This window comes from Homo sapiens, chromosome 5 (assembly GCF_000001405.40).
Source record: "Homo sapiens chromosome 5, GRCh38.p14 Primary Assembly".
NCBI lineage: Eukaryota > Metazoa > Chordata > Mammalia > Primates > Hominidae > Homo > Homo sapiens.
The window spans coordinates 101,245,349-101,263,851 of NC_000005.10; the positions used below are offsets into that span (position 1 = coordinate 101,245,349).

Sequence of the window (18,503 nt, forward strand, 5' to 3'; positions counted from 1 at the left end):
ATTTTAAAATTCAGTTTATGAGCCTAGCAATGCCAAAATCAGATAAAAGCATCACAAGAAAAGAAAAACATGGAACAATATCCCTTATAAATACGTATGCAAAAATCCTTGGGAAAACATTAGCAGATCAAATCAAACAACATATACGAGCTATACACTATGACCAAGCAGGATTTATCTTCACCCACTAGATTTTAAGTAGGCATAATATAGCAAAAAATTATTTTTAACAAATTTATGATATCTCAGAGTAACATCAGCAAAATGGTAGAGTAGGCAATACCAATCTCTCCTTCATCCCCAGAAGAAGCAACAAATAAGCATGAATCGTTAGAAACAACTTTGACAAAATTCTAAAAAACAGTCAAATGTTTGTGTCAATCAAGTGAATGTTAAGAAAAGGCAAGTTGAAATTGACAAAAAATTCTCAGTTTTTTTACTTGCCTTTATCACACCACCTCCCTGGTACAGTAGCAGTCTTGAAGTGGTAGCAACTTCTTGTTTTCAGTGTGGGACCTTGGTCTCCAATTCCTGAAAAAGCAGAGCAAACCTTATATATAAAGCATTCTGTTTATCTGTTCTGAGCTGTCAAATGGGCTTCCTGAAGAACTAACATATGGTACTTGTCTCTGTTTTTCCTAAATCAGACCAAAAAAAGTGGCATATATTGCACATATATATATATCCATATATATATTTATATATGCAATATATATGCATATCTCAATGTATATATACACCATATATATGGTTTCTCTGTCTCTCTCTCTATATATATATATAGTGTGTGTGTGTGTATATATATATGGTGTGTGTGTGTATATATATAGTGTGTGTGTGTGTGTGTATATATATATGGTGTGTGTGTGTGTTTATATATATGTAGAGAGAGAGAGAGAGGGAGAGAGTAACTTTAGCCCCAGATAATTGTTGTTTATTAGTTCAACTTTCAGTGTGTATGTGTGTGTGTTTGTGTGTGTGTGTGTGTTTTAAGACATATGTGTGTGTGTATATATGTGTATACACATATATACTATATATATATTTTTTAAAAACTGTTTTACTATATTTTATTGATATAAATACAACAAACCTCCTAAGTGTGTTCCTGCTTCAAGGAACTTAAGGACGTCCTCCTCCTTTATTTGCAAGACATGAAGGGCTCCAGACATTGTGAAGGTTTCACTTTAAGTTAGGACTGACAGGAATACAGAACAATGCCATATGGACCCCTCTGTGGGTAGTATGGAAAAGCTGCTCATTTTTATATACCATCTAAAGTTCAATAAGTAAAGTTGTGATAGATTCTTTGGAAAACTAGGAACATCTGTGTATACAGGAGAATTTAGAATTCCACATGCATAACCAGGGCAAGATATATGCTCAGAAAAAACTGAGAAGGTCCTAATATTTTGCCTTGGGAACTAGACTAAGTTGGAAACCTGGCAAAGATTTGAAGTACCCCAGCATAGAGCCAATTTGCAATGATTGATAGAGAAGTTTGTTTTGGTTTGCTTTTTTTTTTTCTGTTCTATAGTTGTTGTTTTGTTTATTTACTTATTTTTAGTTCATAACAATCAAGAAAATCTCTGTCAAAGTATTGACTAAACACAAGGTAAAAGATCAGAGATTTCAGGGACCACATATGACAAAGAATACAATTTTTACAATCATTTGGAAAAGTCACTAAACATATGGACTATTAAACCTTCAACAATAAAAAAGCTGCAAATCCTGAGTAAGAGGGAGAATCTGACTTCCAGTTGCCACATTAAAGCATTCGAAAGTCTACTTTTTAAAAACAATAACAAAATCACAAGACATGCAAATAAACAGAAAAAAACCTGCCTATTGAAAGGAAAAAATATTAAATTGACAAAATATGCAATGAGCTAAATGTTTGTTTCTCCATCAAGTGTATATGTTGAAATCCTAACCTCCAATGTGATGGAGCTAAATGGTGGCGCATTTGCAAGATTATTAAGTCGCAAGGGTGGAGCCATCATGAGTGGGATTACAAGTTTTACAAGAAGAAGCGTAAGAGCTTGATCTCTCTCTTTCTCTCTCTCACTCATTCTCTCTGCTCTTCACAATTTTAGCCCTATAAAAAAATGCTGAAGGAACTTCTTTAGGTTAAAATTAAAGGATACAATTAGAAAACTGCCATCTGCAAACCAGGAAACACACCCTCACCAGACACTGGATCCACCAGGAAACACACCCTCACAAGACACTGGATCCACCAGGCCCTTACCCTCAGACTTCCCAGCCTCCAGAACTGTGATATATAAATTTCTGTTGTTTAAGATGTCCATTCTATGGTTTTCTCTTACAGCATTTGAAACTGATTGAGAAAGCCCAATCATGAGATGGACTGGACAAATCTTTAAACAACTCTTCTAAATATGCTAAACAGCTAAGAGAGGAGACAGAAAGAAATAAAAAACTAAAGAAATTAACAAAACAATGTCTAAACAAAAAGACAATAATATTAAAATGATGAATAGCTACAAAGAAACCAAACAAAACCTCTCAAGATAAAATGAATAACCAAAGTGAATGTTTTGCTATATGGGCTCAACAGCAGATTTGAGGAGGTAGAAGAAAGAATCAGTGAACTTGAAGATAGGACAGTTAAAATTATTGACTCTGAGGAGCAGAAAGAAAAAGTAATAATAAAGAATACTTAACAGAGCCTAAGTGACCTGATGAAAGCTATCAATTCAAGAACATACAAATTATGAAAGTCTCAGAACTAGAAGAAATAGAAAATAGGGGCAGAGAGAATATTTAAGGTAATAGAAACAAAAATACTACCATTTTTATCAAGTACATGTGTATGCAAATCCAAGAAGATGAACAAAATCCAAGTATAATAAAAATTAACCAGACCCACATTAAGACACAGCATAGTCAAATTGTTAAAAGCCAAAGAAAATATAATCTTGAATGAAGTGAGAGAGAAATGATGCATCATCATATATAAGGATCCTCAACAAGATTAGGAGCTAATTTCTCAAGTGAAACCTGAAGGCCAAAGGCATGGGTATTATATATTTATAATGCTGAATGAAAAAAAAATGAATGCCAACCAAGAATTCTATACCTGACAAAACTATTCTTGAGAAATAAAGTAAAATTAAGACATTTTCAGATAACCAAATCTGAGAAAGTTGATTACTACTAGACATTCCTTACAAAAAATGCAAAAAGGAATTATTTAGGTTGAAATGAAAGGAAACTGGATGTAATTCACAGCAATACAAAGATATAAATATCACCAATAGAGGTAAATATATGGACAATATAGAAGCTAATATTTTTGTAATTTTGTTTTGTAACTCTAAATTTGTTTTTGTTTATGAATATTAATCAATGAATGTGTCAATGAAGATTGCAAAAAATTAGAAAATACTTAGAGATGAGTTAAAATAAAACACAACATGTAAAACCTTAATAGATGTAACAAATGTAGTGCTCAGTGGGAAAATTATAGCTGCAAATACCTATATTTAAAAAAAAGACCTCAAATTAGTAACCCAAATGTACATCTTGAGGAATTAGAAAAAGGAATTTACATCTTAAGGAACTAGGGAAAATATTAACAAAGTAGGAACTAGAAATGAAAACTAAAGCCAAAGCTTTCAGAAACAAGACAATGATAATGGCTAAAGTGGAGACATAAAACAGAGAATAGAAAAACAATACAATCAAGGTACCCAAGAGTTGGGTGTTTGAGAAGATCAACCAAATTGGCAAACTTTTTGCTAGTTTGACCAGGAAAAAAAGTAGTGCAAGTAATTAAAAACCAAAATAAAAATAGAGACATAACTACTAGCTTTATAGAAAGAGGAAAGAATGTTAAGAGAATGCTAAGAACAATTGTACAGCAACAAATAGTTAACCTAGATGAAATTTACAAAATCCTAAAAATATACACATTTTCCAAACTGACTCAAAAGGAAATAAAAAATTTCATCAGACCTATAACAATTAAAGATATTCAATAAGTAATCTAAAATCTCCTAAAAAAGAAAAGTCCAGAACCAGATGTCTTCAGTAGTTAATCATGACAAATATCGAAAAAAGAAAAAAAAACTTATCAAACTGTTACCAAAAATACTTGATAATAAAGAGATATTTTAAAATTCAGTTCATGAGGCTAACAATGCCAAAATCAGATAAAAACATCACGAGAAAAGGAAAACATGGAACAATATCCCTTGTAAATACATATGCAAAAATCCTTAGGAAAACATTAGCAAACCAAATCAAACAACATATAAGAACTATACACTATGACCAAGCAGGATTTATCTAAGGAATTCAAGGGTGGTTCAACATAGAAAAATCCGTCTACGTAATATCTTACATTAGTAGAAAAAAAAGAAAAAAATGATTATCTCAGTTGTTTCAGAAAAAACACATGGCAAAATTCAGCACTCTTTCATGATAAAAACAGAAAAGTAGGAATACAAAGGAACTTCCTAAACAATAACAAAGAACATTTATAAGATCTCACACTAATAACCATCTATGCCATTGTAAAGACTGAAAGCTTTCCCTCTAAGATAATGAGCAAGCAAACATGCTTTTTTCCATTGCTGTTATTTGACAGTTTACTGGAAATTGTAGCCAGAGAAATTAAACAAGCAAAAGCAATAAAAAGCATTGAAATTGGAAAGGAAAAAATAAGATTGTCTGTAGTCAGAGATAACTTGATCTTACATAATAAAAAAAGAACTCCACAGAATTCAGAAAGCATTTGAGCTAAAAATTAAAAATTAAAAAAATATAACACAAGATCAGCACACAAAATCTAGTTGTGGTTCCTAAAACAGCAATGAGCAATTCAAAAAAAATCAAATCAATTTACAGATTCAACACACTCTTTATCAAAATTTCAAAAGCCTTTATTTGCAGAAACAGGAAAGCCAACTCTCAAATGCATGCAGAATTGCAAGGGTCCCCTCAAGGCCATGACAATTTTGAAAAACAGAACAAAGTTCAAGGACACACACTTTCTATTGTGGAAAGTTACTACAAAGCTACCATAATCAAAACAGTTTGATACTTGCAGAAGAATAAACATATGGGCCAATGGAATGTAATTAAGAGTTTAAACCACATCCTTATGACAAACTGATTTTTGACGAGGGTGCTAAGTCCATCAATGGTGAAAAAATAGTTTATCAGAATGGATGGTGCTGAAACAACTGAATTTCTACATACAAAAGAACACGATTAGACCACTTGATTAAAAATGTATCAGTGACCTAAATGTAAGAGCTAAAATTATAAAATACCTCAGACAAAACATGAATAAGCCTTTATGTTCATGGTTTTGGCAACAGATACTCATATATGACACTAAAAGCAATAAAAAATAAAAACAAAGGAAAAATCGACAAGTTGGACTTTGCCAAAACTAAAATCTTTTGTGCCACAAAGGACATTGTCAAGAAAAAAAAAAACCTACAGAATATGAAAAAATATTTGCAAATCATGTATCTGAGAAAGCTTTTACTTAGAATATATAAAGAACTCCTACACTCAAGAACAAAAATAAACAATACAATTTAAAAATGGGCAAATGTAAATTGATAAAAATTTCTTCAATGAAGATATAAAAGTGGGCTATACATACATGAAAAGATTTTCAAATATTCACTAATCAAAAGAGAAATAGAAATGCACATGAACATTAGTAATCACTAGGGAAATGCAAATTAAAACCAGGAGATGTCACTTCATGCCCATTAGAATGTCCATTATTAAAAAGCAAATAAAAAATATGTGTTAGTGCAGATGTAAGAAATTGAAACCCTTTTATATTGCTGGTGGGAATGTAAAATAAAGCAGCCACTGTGGGAAACAGTTTGTCATTCCCTCAGAAATTTAAACATGTAATTACCATACAACCCAGCAATTCCACTTTTAGATATATGCCTAAAATAATTGAAAACAGAGACTCAAACAGGTATTTCCATGCCAATGTTAATTGCAGCAGTATTAACAGTAACTAAAAGAAGCAAACAACTCACTTTCCACTAACAGATAAACAAAATGTGGTATATTCATACAATGGGATATTTATTCAGCCATAATAAAAAATAAAATTTGTATACATGCTACAACAATGATTTATCCTTGAAAGCATTGCAGTAAGTGAAATCACACAGACACAAAAGAGCAAATATTGTATATTCCAATCTATCTGAAATATCTAAAATAGGTAAATGTATAAAGAGAGAAAGTAGTTTAGAAGTTATCAGGAGTTGGGGAAAGGGGAATTGGAAATATGTGCTTACTTCTTTAAAGAGTGTCTGTTTGGAGTGTTAAAAAGGTTTTGAAAATAGATTGTTGGACATGGTTGGACAATATTGGAATTACACTGTGAATGTAATTAATGCCACTTAATAATACACTTAAAATAATTAAAATGGCAGAATTTATATGTATTTTACCATGATAAAGAAAGAAAAAGCAGTTCATATGATTTCGATAGAAATTCCTAAGACTCTCATTAAACATTTTATGAAGTGCTATTTTGCCCTGTGATGCCTCCAGTTAGTATTTGCATTGCTGTTGAATTCGTGAGTGATATGTATTTTCATGTTTTTAAATATCCCTCTACTTGAATATAAGATTTGGAAACACAACCATGTCTCATATTTGCTAGCACATTTCTGAACACTTTTTGATCAACATTCAAAAAATAATTTAAAATTTGAGAATATGTTTAAATCTCAAAATGGAAAAATATTAAGTCATTGTATACAACCAATTGCTCATAATCTTTCTTTAGATAATAGAAATTATATATGTAGAGTATATTATATGATGATATATAAGTATGTGTACATTATATCATAATTATATGCATATGTAATAATTATTAATTTACTCAACACTTGTGATACTACACTAGTTTATAAAGCTGACTATCTTTGTGACGCCACCCTGTATTTTCTAGAATTTTTTAAAGAATGGGCAAGAAATATCCAGCTCATTATTTTCTTTTGCAGAGTATATTCACATACCATTAGAAATAAAACACTCATGATTTGTAATACATATTTTAAAGACAAATTCTAACAAGAAATAGTAAATGTTTTCATGTTGAAAAACATTGAAATCAAGTAGAAATAATTGTTTCTTTTTGAATACAGAAGGAAAGAGAACAGAAAATAATTACTTTTGCTCATCTACATCACTTCACAAAAATGAAACATTTGTTTTCATCTATCCAATCTCTAGTGGTAGTTGAAGGCTCAAGCTCAGTGTTATTTGAGGACATCTGTGTTACTTCATTCCACATTGAATTCACTTCCTTTTTAAAGAGTTAGTCTCTAACTTGGCAGTTAATTTATACAGACTTATTATATATTACAAATATAATAATGACAAATAGTTACAGGGCATCTTCTATGCATCATTGGCTGTTCCAAGTGTTTTAAATATATAAATTCATGAAATCTCCAAGCAAGTTTATGAGATAGGTAAAATTATTAGTTGCATTTTGCAGATAAAGATATTAGTTTTGGAAAAACTAAGAGTCTTGCTCAAGGTCATATAGCTAAAAAGTGTCAGGCTCAGATAAGAATATATCTTTTAAACATCTTAATTACTATAGGTCTTTCAAAACAAATATACTATGCTATGCCATGCCATTCAATGCCATGCCATGCTATGTTATGCTTACCCCATTAGTATCTGTTGTGGGTTGAACTGTGTCCTTCTAAAAGATATGTTGAAGTCCTAACGCCTCATATTTGTAATGTGACTCTATTGGGAAACAAGGTCTTTGCAGATGTAACCAAGCTAAAATAAAGTGATATTAGATTAAGGTGGGTCCTAATCCAGTAGGACTCATGCCCTTATAAGAAGAGTGGAATATATGCAGGCTCACAGACGGAAGAATGACGTGTGAAGATGGAGTCTGAGATTGAATTTAGGAATCTACAAGTCCAAGAATGCTAAGAATTACTGGCAACCAGCAGAGCTAAGAAGTTGCAAGAAATGATTCTTACCTAAGAACTTAGAGGGATCATAGGCCTACAGATACCTTAATTTTATACTTCTGACCTACAGAACTCTGAGAGAATACGTGTTTTTAAACCACATAATTTGTGGTAGTACTTGGTTATGGCTGTTCTAGGAAACTAACAAAATGTCTCAGAGTGTTTTATCAATTTAGGATTTAAAATTGCTTCCGTTCACAAATTTTTAACGTTTAATTTTGTACATTAGTAGCATTACTTCAAAATTAACAGGAAACTTAATGTTAAAGCAAGCAAACAAACAAACAAGGAAGCAGTCCTGAGGGGCTTTCTGGTGAGGCCCCTGGTGCCACCTTCTAGGTCTTAGAGTTTTTTGATGCACAGTTGTGAAAAATAACAAACCCAATTTAAAGTTATTATTTAATTTGTGTGAAAACTGAAGCTTAAAGAACTTTATTCTCTTATATAAGGTCATCCAGATAGATGGTGGCAGACCTCTCACTTTGGTATGTATTGTTCTTTTATTTCTTTATTAATTTTCTACACTATGCTGGGCTTCAATTTAAAGACTGACTTCTAAAAATAGCTCTTATTGATTTTCTCATCATAAAAATATTATATTTTATCTCAAGAAAATTTATTAAATAAAAACAGTAAAATGAAGAAATGAAAAGTCTAATTAACACTCCATAAAAGAACTGTAAATATTTGGTGGATTTACATGTAAACACTTAACTCTGAAATTAGATCCTGGAATCTCTATTGCCTAGTCAGAAAGCAATCTTACAGTCAAAGAAACATCAATCCATCAGCCAAAAGATATTTACACAGAAATAACATTTTATTACTCTTTTTCTTGTAATTCACAGCACTTTGAAAACCCTCTTCCTCTAGTTCTTCTCATTCCACAATTTACTTGAAATTCTGTAGCCACCATTCCCATCCTTTACTCTTAACAATACACAGATTTCCTTTCTTCAGGAAACTCACCCTTTTTCTCCAACTTGTCCTTTCATCTCTCTTCCATTCTCCAGATTCTTTTTTTTGCAAAGTTCAGGAAACTTTCTCACAGAAAATCTACACAAAATGTAGCAATAACCTAAGCAGATATATTTTACCTGGTCCTGCCCTTGGTACACATACACATGTACTAGTTTGCATCATACTTTAGTCAGAAACACTGTCATCACTAGGAGTTCTCTTAAAATATTTGTTTTATTTATCCTTTTAAACTACTTTTTTCTCATTATAAGTCAAGAAATATCATTGATTATTGTACCTTAATTTTTACAAAGGATTAAGCAGATGCATTTATGGTAGGTATATATTTTTAAACATATCTAGGCTATTTTAATGTCATATATGCTATTGTTAAAATTCTAAACCATAGAAGAGTGAATAAATGAGACTTCTGTCTTCATCTCTAGATGTTGAGAAGTTGAAGGTACTTTATTCCCATATTTACAATAAAATAAAATGCAACAAACTGTAAATTCATGACCAGTTTTGAACCCATTATAAAGCTAAGTTGACAGAGCAACTGTGATATTGTGAAATACATATATTTAGTCTTCAGTCCCCATTTTTTGACATTTAACTCATAAAATCCTTGGACTATCCAGTGTTATAAAATTTTCTATGCTACTGACTTGACTAGTGGCTGACAACCTCTAGGTAGCCACAGGATTGGGCTGGTCACTAGAAAGACTAAGGCAGGATTAGACGGCTGAGACTTTCAGTACCACTCCTAAACCTTCAGTGGGGAGAGAGGGGCTAAAAGCTCAGTTGAGCACCAACAGCAAATGGTTTAATCAATCATGCCTATGTAATAAAGCCTCCATAAAACCCCTCAAAAAACAGGATTCAGAATGCTTCTGGATAGCTGAACATGTAGAAGTTTTTGAAGAGTGGCATGCATGAGGAGCGTATGAAGGCTCCATGCCTCTTCACGCATGCATTGCTGTATGCATCTTTTCATTTGTATCCTTTGTATTATTCTTTATAATAAACTGATAAACTTGAGTTACATTTTCCTGAGTTCTGTGAGCCACTCCAGCAAATTAACTGAACCCAGAGAGGTGCTGTGAAAGCCCCAATTTATAGTGGGTCAATCATAAACACAGGTAAAAAAAACCTGGGGCTTATGGTTGGCATCAGAAGTGGAAGGCAATTTTGTGGGACTGAGCCCTCAACCTGTAGGATCTGATGATATCTCCAGGGAGACAGTGCCAGACTTGAATTAGAACACATCCAGTTGCAGAATTTATTGCTTTCTTGGCATGTGGGGGAAAAATACCTACACATTTAGTCACAGAAGTCTTCTATGTTGACTGTGGAGTGAAAGTTTAGGAAAAACAGTTTGCATGTTTTTCATTCAGATCAACCCACTGCCCCAAAATTTCATTAGAGACAGCAACCTACAGAGAGAGCAGAGAAACCTGGAGGGAGAGAGAAGTGAGCGCTGGTTTACTTATTGAAGACATAAATGGGCACTTGCAACAGGAGCTCAGCATATATAATGCAAATTTTTGAAGGCTGTATTTGAGTTGGTGGGATATTGTAATGCCCTGGGTGTCATAGATATTGAGGTATTTTACACTCTGTGGAAAGCGTTTATCAACAATCTCACTGAGTATTCACAACAACTATCCAAATGAGTCCTAAGAAAGTTTCCATTGTAGATCAAATGTAGAGGAGGGCAGTAGCAGTTCTGTTAGAGAAGAAAGACTCCCACTTGAGCCCTTCTCCTCTAAATCCACTATAGAACAAAAGCCTTAATTTATGCAGAGGTGGGCAACATACACCACTGCCTTTAGAATACTGGAGAAAATTTATTGCATCTAGAATAAAACATGGGAAAAATATCTACTCCTGAATCAGGTGAAGATCTATGAACTGGATTCTGAACTAAGCCAATGGAGGTGAAAAGAAATAAGTAGGAGCCATTCCCCAAACCTAGGATACTGTGACTGCCTAAGACTTAAAGCTTGATCAAACCATTTAAGAATGCTTCTCAAGTACTGGGAGCCAAGCCGCCCAGCTTTGAAACACAAGTAATGATTGAGAACTGCAGAGAGCAGTATAAGAAAAGAATAAGAACATGCAAAAAATAACACTCTCTGAGGCACAATGTAAAAGGAAGGCCAATACTCAGGGTCAAACCAATCTATACACTAAACACATGGTATTGCTACAGGAATGTGCATCCTATTATGCATAGATAATAACTATAACAACAATATACTTCTTCTCAGCTCATCACCTGAATTAATTAATTAGTTAGCTTGAACTCCTGCACTGAAGGCATTCAAGAGAAAAGGTATAATCATTTTCAGCATTGAAAAACTGTTTACTTCAGTGTGTATTGTCCTAAACAGATTGCAGGTGGCTTTCAACAAAACCTATAAGACAAATAAAATTATCTGAGATAGCACACTGCTAAGAGACCAAGTAATAATCAAAACCATATTTTAAATGACACAGATATTAGAATTTATGCTAGGGCATTTAAAATAGTTATAATTGATATGTTAAAACATCCCATGGAAAAGGTGTACAATATGCAGGATCATATTGGGAATTTCAGTAGAAAAATTTATACCAATAAAAAAATAAATTATTGAAAGAACACAAGTACAGGACACAAATCAAACAAAAGAAAAAAAATTCAAATGGAAATACTAGAAATTAAAAACATACTAACAGAGACATAAAGACTGTCGTTGTATGCTTGGCACACCTGAGGGAAAAATCAACTCAAATCAGAAAATCAGACAATAGAAATTATACCAATTGAAAAACAAAAAGAAAAATATAAAACACTCAAGAGTTGTCTGGAAATACCATATGGTCTAACTTATGTGTAATTAGAATTCTAGAGGAAAATAAAAGAGAATAGGGCAAGAGAAATTGTTTAAAAAAGAATGGCTGAGAATATTTCAGAATTAATGACAACCATCAAACTATAAAAACACAAATCTCAGAACCAAACAATTGGTGTTTTTTAAAGAGAAGTATGTACATTATGTTCAAACTGGTGAAAACATTAGACAAAGAATAATAAAGCAAACATGGCAAAAAAGCAAATTAAATACAGATAAACAAATATATAAATTATGGTCTGATACCATACAAGCCGGAATATAATCAATCCAATGAAATAGGAAAAGAAACTACTTATGGGAGAAACTGAATGATATGGTTTGGCTCTGTATCTCCACCCAAATCTCACCTTGAATTGTACTCCCATAATTCCCACGTGTTGTGGGAGGGACCCAGTGGGAGACAATTTGAATCATGTGGGCGGTGTCTCACATACTGTTTTCAGGGTAGCTAATATGTCTCATGAGATCTGATGGTTTTATCAGGAGTTTCCACTTTTGCATCTTTCTCATTTTTTCTCTTGCTGCCACCATGTAAGAAGTGCCTTTGCCTCCTGTCATGGTGCTGAGGACTCCCCAGACATGTGGAACTGTAAGTACAATTAGACCTCTTTTTATTCCCAGTCTCAAGTAAGTCTTTATCAGCAGCATGTAAATGGACTAATACAGTAAATTGGTAATAGGAGTGGGGTGTTGCTGAAGAGATACTCAAAAATGTGGAAGCGACTTTGGAACTGGGTAACAGGCAGAGGTTGGAACAGTTTGGAGGGCACAGAAAAAGACAGGAAAATGTGGGAAGGTTTAGAACATTCTAGAGATTTGTTGAATGGCTTTGACAAAAATGCTGATAGTGATTTGGACAAGAAGGTCCAGGCTGAGATGGTCTCAGATGGAGATGAGGAATTTTTGGGAACTGGAGCAAAGGTGACACTTGTTATGTTTTAGCAAAGAGACTGGCGACATTTTTTCCCTGCCCTAGAAAGTTTTGAAACTTTGAACTAGAGAGAGATGATTTAGTCTATATGGCAGAAGAAATTTCTAAGCAGTAAAGCATTCAAGAGATGACTTGGGTGCTTTTAAAAGCATTCTGTTTTAAAAGGGAAACAGCATAAAAGTTCAGAAAATTTGCAGCCTGAAGATGCAGTATAAAAGAAAACCCCACTTTTTTGAGGAGAAATGCAAGCTGGCTTCAGAAATTTCCATAAGTAACAAGGAGCCAAACGTTAACCCCCAAGACAATGGGAAAAATATCTCCAACATGTCATAGATCTTCATGGCAGCCCCTCACATCACAGACCTGAAAGCCTAGGAGGAAAAAAAGATCTCATGGGCCAGGCCCAGGGTCCTCATGCTGTGTGTAGCTTAGGTCTTGGTGTCCTTCATCCCAGCTGCTCCAGCCATTGCAAAAAGGGGCCAAGGTATAGCTAAGCCAATGGTTCCAGAGGGTGCAAGCCCAAACCTTGGCAACTTCTCTGTGGTGTTGATCCTGCAGGTGCATAGAAATCAAGAATTGAGGTTTAGGAACTTCCACCTACATTTCAGAAGATGTATGGAAATACCTAGATGCCCAGGCACAAGTGTGCTGTAGGGGCAGAGCCCTTAAGGAGAACCTCTGCTAGGGCAGTGCAGAAGGGAAATGTGGGGTTGGAGCCCCCACACAGAGTCCCTACTGGGGCTCTGCCTAGTGGAGCTGTGAGAAGAGAGCCACCATCTTCCAGGCCTCAGAATGGTAGATCCACCGACAGCTTGAATCACGTGCATGAAAAATCCACAGACACTCAATGCTAGCCCGTGAAATCAGCCAGGAGGAGGGTTATACCCTGCAAAGACAAAGGGGCAGAGCTTCCCAAGACTATGGGAACCTACCTCTTGGATCAGAGTGTCAATGTGACCTGGATGTGAGACATGGAGTCAAAGGAGATTATTTTGGAGAACTAAAATTTGACTGCCCCACTGAATTTCAGACTTTCATGAGGCCGTAGCCCCTCTGTTTTGGCCAATTTCTCCCATTTAGAAGACCTGTATTCACCCAATACCTGTACCCCATTGTATCTAGGAAGTAACTAGCTTGTATTTGATTTTATAGGCCCACAGGTGGAAGGAACTTGCCTTTTCTTCAGTTGAGACTTTGGACTGTGGACTTTTGGGTTAATGCTGAAATGAGTTAAGACTTTGGGAGACTGTTGGGAAGGCACGATTGCTTTTGAAATATGAGAAGATGAGATTTGGAGAGGCTAGGGTCAGAATGATATGGTTTGGCTCTGTGTCCCCACCCAAATCTCATCTTGAATTGTACTCCCATAATTCCCACATGTTGTGAGAGGGACCTGGTGGGAGATAATTTGAATCATTGTGGTGGTTTCCTCCATACGGTTCTCGTGCTACTGAATAAGTCTTGCAAGATTTGATGATTTTATCAGAGGTTTCCGCTTTTGTGTCTTTCTCATTTTTTCTTTTGCTGCCATCATGTAAGAAGTGACTTGCAACTTCCACTATAATTCTGAGGCCTCCCTAGCCATGTGGAACTGTAAGTACAATTAAATCTTTTTTCTTCCCAGTCTTGGGTATGTCTTTATCAGAGGCATGAAAATGAAATAATATACTGAAGAAGTCCTAAATTAATGAAGAGATATATGTGCTTATGAATTGATATACGTGCTTATGAATTGATATACATGCTTATATATTGTAAAGATGTACGTGCTTATATATTGTAAAGATGTCAGTTCTTCCCCAAATAATCCACTGATTAGATGGAATCTCAAACAAAACTCTCTCAGGCTTTTTGGTAGATATCAATAATACTATACTCAAATTTATATAGGAAATCTAAGGAACTGAAATAACCAAAATACTTGAAAAAGAGAAATTTCTAGGATCATAATGATACAAACAACTAAATATATAAGTAAATGGAGGACAGGGATATATCTCTTCACGACAGAATAAGTCTGAATAACAAATGTAAAATTAATGATAAAAATAGACGATTAGTATTAAAACCCCACATTAATAATTTTCACAAGCAGTGTCCACTGGGATGATGCTAACGTTAGTGGGTAAAAATTTAAGCAGAAAGAGATATCTCATAGCTTCAAATGTCCCTCTCAAAATATTAAATGTTTACAAGGGGAAAAAAGTAACAATGGAGAATCATTGCAGACAGTACCTTAACCGATGATCAAGTTAACATCACCAGTAACACATATCTTCACCAAGAACTACCCAATACAAGAGAGTAGGAAGGACATATCAGAGTTGTGGCATTGTTTCCAATAATATATAAGGTATATGTAATAATGGAGACACTTCAGAAGAAAACAAATTGGAGGACATTCTATAATGTAACTGACCAGAATTCTTCAAAAGTTTCTAGGTGATGTGGTTTGGCTGTGTCCTCACTCAAAGCTCATCTTGTATTCCCACATGTTATGGGAGGGACTTGGTGGGAGGTAATTGAATCATGGGGGTGGTTCTTTCCCATGTTGTTCTCCTGATAGTGAATATGTCTCATGAGATCTGATGGTTTTAAAAGGCAGAGTTTCCCTGCACAAACTGTCTCTTTGCCTGGTGACATCCATGTATACTGTGTCTGTCCTGCAGACTCTGGACAAGCGATGGATGAAAGAAGTATGCAGATATTTTGCGTGAGCGTGACTAAGGGACTGCTCAGCTTAGAGATGCCGAAGAGAGAGTGCAGTCTCGATAAGCCTGAGTCGCTTGTATTTATTCAGTACAGATTTTATGATAAAGGCTTGGAGCTAACACAACCTGTGGATAATTAACATTGTTATTCCCCCTTTCAAGGAGCAGTCTTGCGTGGGGATGATCAAAGGTCAGTTTCTGGACACCATAAGTAAATAAACTTATCTAGATAAACTCCTTTACACTCCCTTGCATCTACTTCTCACCCTCTGCATCAGGGTAAGGGAATTAGCTGCATTCAGCTTTTATTCTCTCCCGAAGCTTTGCAAAACCTCCCGGCCTTCCAAGAGGGTTTGCGTCTTGTCCTAGAAATTTTCTTATAATTTTTCCCACCACCCTGACTGATCTCCTACACATGTAAGATGTGGCTTGTCCTCCTTGCCTTCCACCATGATAGTGAAGCCTCCCCAGTTACGTGGAATAGTAAGTCTATTAAACCCTTTTTCCTGGATAAAGTACCCAGTCTTTGTATTGTATTTATCAGCTGCACAAAAAGAGACTAATACAGTAAATTGGTACCAGTAGAGTGGGGTGCTGCTGTAGATCCCTGAAAATGTGGAATCGACTTTGGAACTGGTTTACAGGCAGGGGCTGGAATAGTTTGGAAGGCTTAGAAGAAGACAGGAAAATTTGTGAAAGTTTGAAACTTCCTGGAGACTTGTTGAATGACTTTGCCCAAAATGCTGATAGTGATATGGACAATAAAGTCCAGGCTGAGGTGGCCTCAGATGGAAATGAGGAACTTGTTGGGAACTGAAGCAAAGCTGACTCTTGTTATGTTTTAGCAAAAAGACTGTCATCATTTTGCCTCTTCCCTAGATATTTGAATTGAGGGAGATGATTTAGGGAATTTAGTGGAAAAAATTTCTAAGCAACAAAGCATTCAAGAGATAACTTGGGTGCTGTTAAAGGCATTCAGTTTTAAAAGGGAAGCGGATCATAAAAGTTCAGAAAATTTACAGCCTGACAATGGGATAGGAAACAAAATCTCATTTTCTGAGGAGAAATTCAAGCCAGCTGCAGAAATTTGCATAAGTAGCGAGGAGACAAGTGTTAATCACAAAAACAATTGGGAAAGTGTCTCCAAAGCATGTCAGAGACCTTTGTGGCAGCCCTTCCCATCATGGACTTGGAGATTTAGGGGGAATAAATGGTTTTGTGGACTGGGTCCAGGGTCTCTCTGCTCTGTGCAGTCTAGAGACTTGGTGCCCTGCATCCCAGCCATTCTAGCCATTAATAAAAGCAGTTAAGGTACAGCTTGGGCTATTGCTTCAGATGGTGGAAGCCCCAAGCCTTGGCAGCTTCCACATGGTGTTGATCCTGCACATGCATAGAAGTGAAGGATTGAGGTTTGAGGACCTTTGCCTAGATTTCAGAGAATGTATGGGAATGCCTGGATGCCCAGGGAGAAGTTTGCTGCAGGAGTAGGGCCCTCATGGAGAAACTCTGATAGGGCAGTGCAGAAGGAAAATGTGGGGTCAGATCCCCCGCACAGAGTCCCCACTGGGGCACTGCCTACTGGAGCTGTGAGTAGAGAGCCACCATCCTCCAGACCCAAGAATGGTAGATCCACTGACAGCTTGCACTGTGTGCCTGGAAAAGCCACAGACACTCTATGCCAGCCCGTGAAAGAAGCCAGGAGAGGGGCTATACCCTGGAAAGACACAGTGGTGGAGCTGCCCAAGGGCATGGGAGCCCAACTCTTGCATCAGTGTGACCTGACTGTGAGACATGGAGTCAAAGGAGATTATTTTGGAGCTTTAATATTTGACTGCACCACTGGATTTCTGACTTGCATGGGGCCTGTGGCCCCTTTGTTTTGCCAATTTCTCGTATTTGAAATGGCTGTATTTACTCAATGCCTATACCCCATCATATCTAGGAAGTAACTAACTTGCTTCTGATTTTACAGGCTCATAGGTGGAAGGGACTTGCCTTGTCTCAGCTGAAACTTTGGACTGTGGACTTTTCAGTTAATGCTGAAATGTGTTAAGACTTTGGGGTACTGTTGGGAAGGCATGATTGGTTTTGAAATGTGAGGACAGGAGATTTGGGATCGGCCAGGGGCAGAATGAAATGGTTTGGCTGTGTCCCCACCCAAATCTTATCTTGAATTTCCACATGTTGTCAGAGGGACCCAGTGGGAGATAATTGAATCATGGGAGTGGGTCCTTCCTGTGTTATTCTTCTGATAGTGAATATGTTTCATGAGATCTGATGGTTTTATAAGATGGAGTTTCCCGACACAAGCTCTCTCTTTGCCTGCTGCCATCCATGTAAGACTTGACTTGCTCCTCCTTGCCTTCTGCCATCCATGTAAGACTTGACTTGCTCCTCCTTGCCTTCTGCCGTGATTGTGAGGCCTCCCCAATCACGTGGAACTATAAGTCCATTAAGCCTTTATTCCTTTATAAATTATCCAGTCTTGTGTATGTCTTTATCAGCAGTTTGAAAATGGATTAATACACTAGGTCATGAAAAATAAGGAAAAATTAATACTGTTTCAAATATGGAGGCTAAGAAGACATGATAACTAAATGTATTGTGGAATAACTAATTATATTCAAGAAAAGAACAAGACAATGCGTGGGAAAACTGGTGATAATTGAATAAATTCTCTAGTTTAGCTGAGAGTATGGTACCAGAGTTATTTTCTTGTGTTGATACTCATGGTAATGTAAAATGTTAACATAGGGAGCCATTGGGTGAAGGATATATAGAGGTACTTCCCTCTATTTCTACAACTCTTCTGTAATCTAAAATTAATCTCAAAATAAATAGTTAAAATGAAGCCAAAATCTAAACGACCAAAAAGTGAATAAATAGAAAAAAATCTACATATCCTCATCTTTCCATGTTCAACATTTTTCAGAAGAAGACATACAAATGCCAAGAATTATATAGAAAGTGCTCA

The 18,503-nt window shown here is 35.6% G+C and overlaps 1 long non-coding RNA gene across 3 annotated transcripts in view; it reads right to left on the minus strand.

Annotated features, from left to right (window-relative positions):
• Nucleotides 1–250: 250 nt before the first annotated feature.
• LOC107986438 (uncharacterized) overlaps nt 251–18,503 on the minus strand; it is a 28,207-nt gene continuing 9,954 nt past the window's right edge. For all 3 annotated transcript variants that reach the window (XR_001742828.2, XR_007058890.1, XR_001742827.1), the window contains one exon: nt 251–531. This is a non-coding gene — a long non-coding RNA (uncharacterized LOC107986438). The remainder of the gene's footprint in view (nt 532–18,503) is intronic.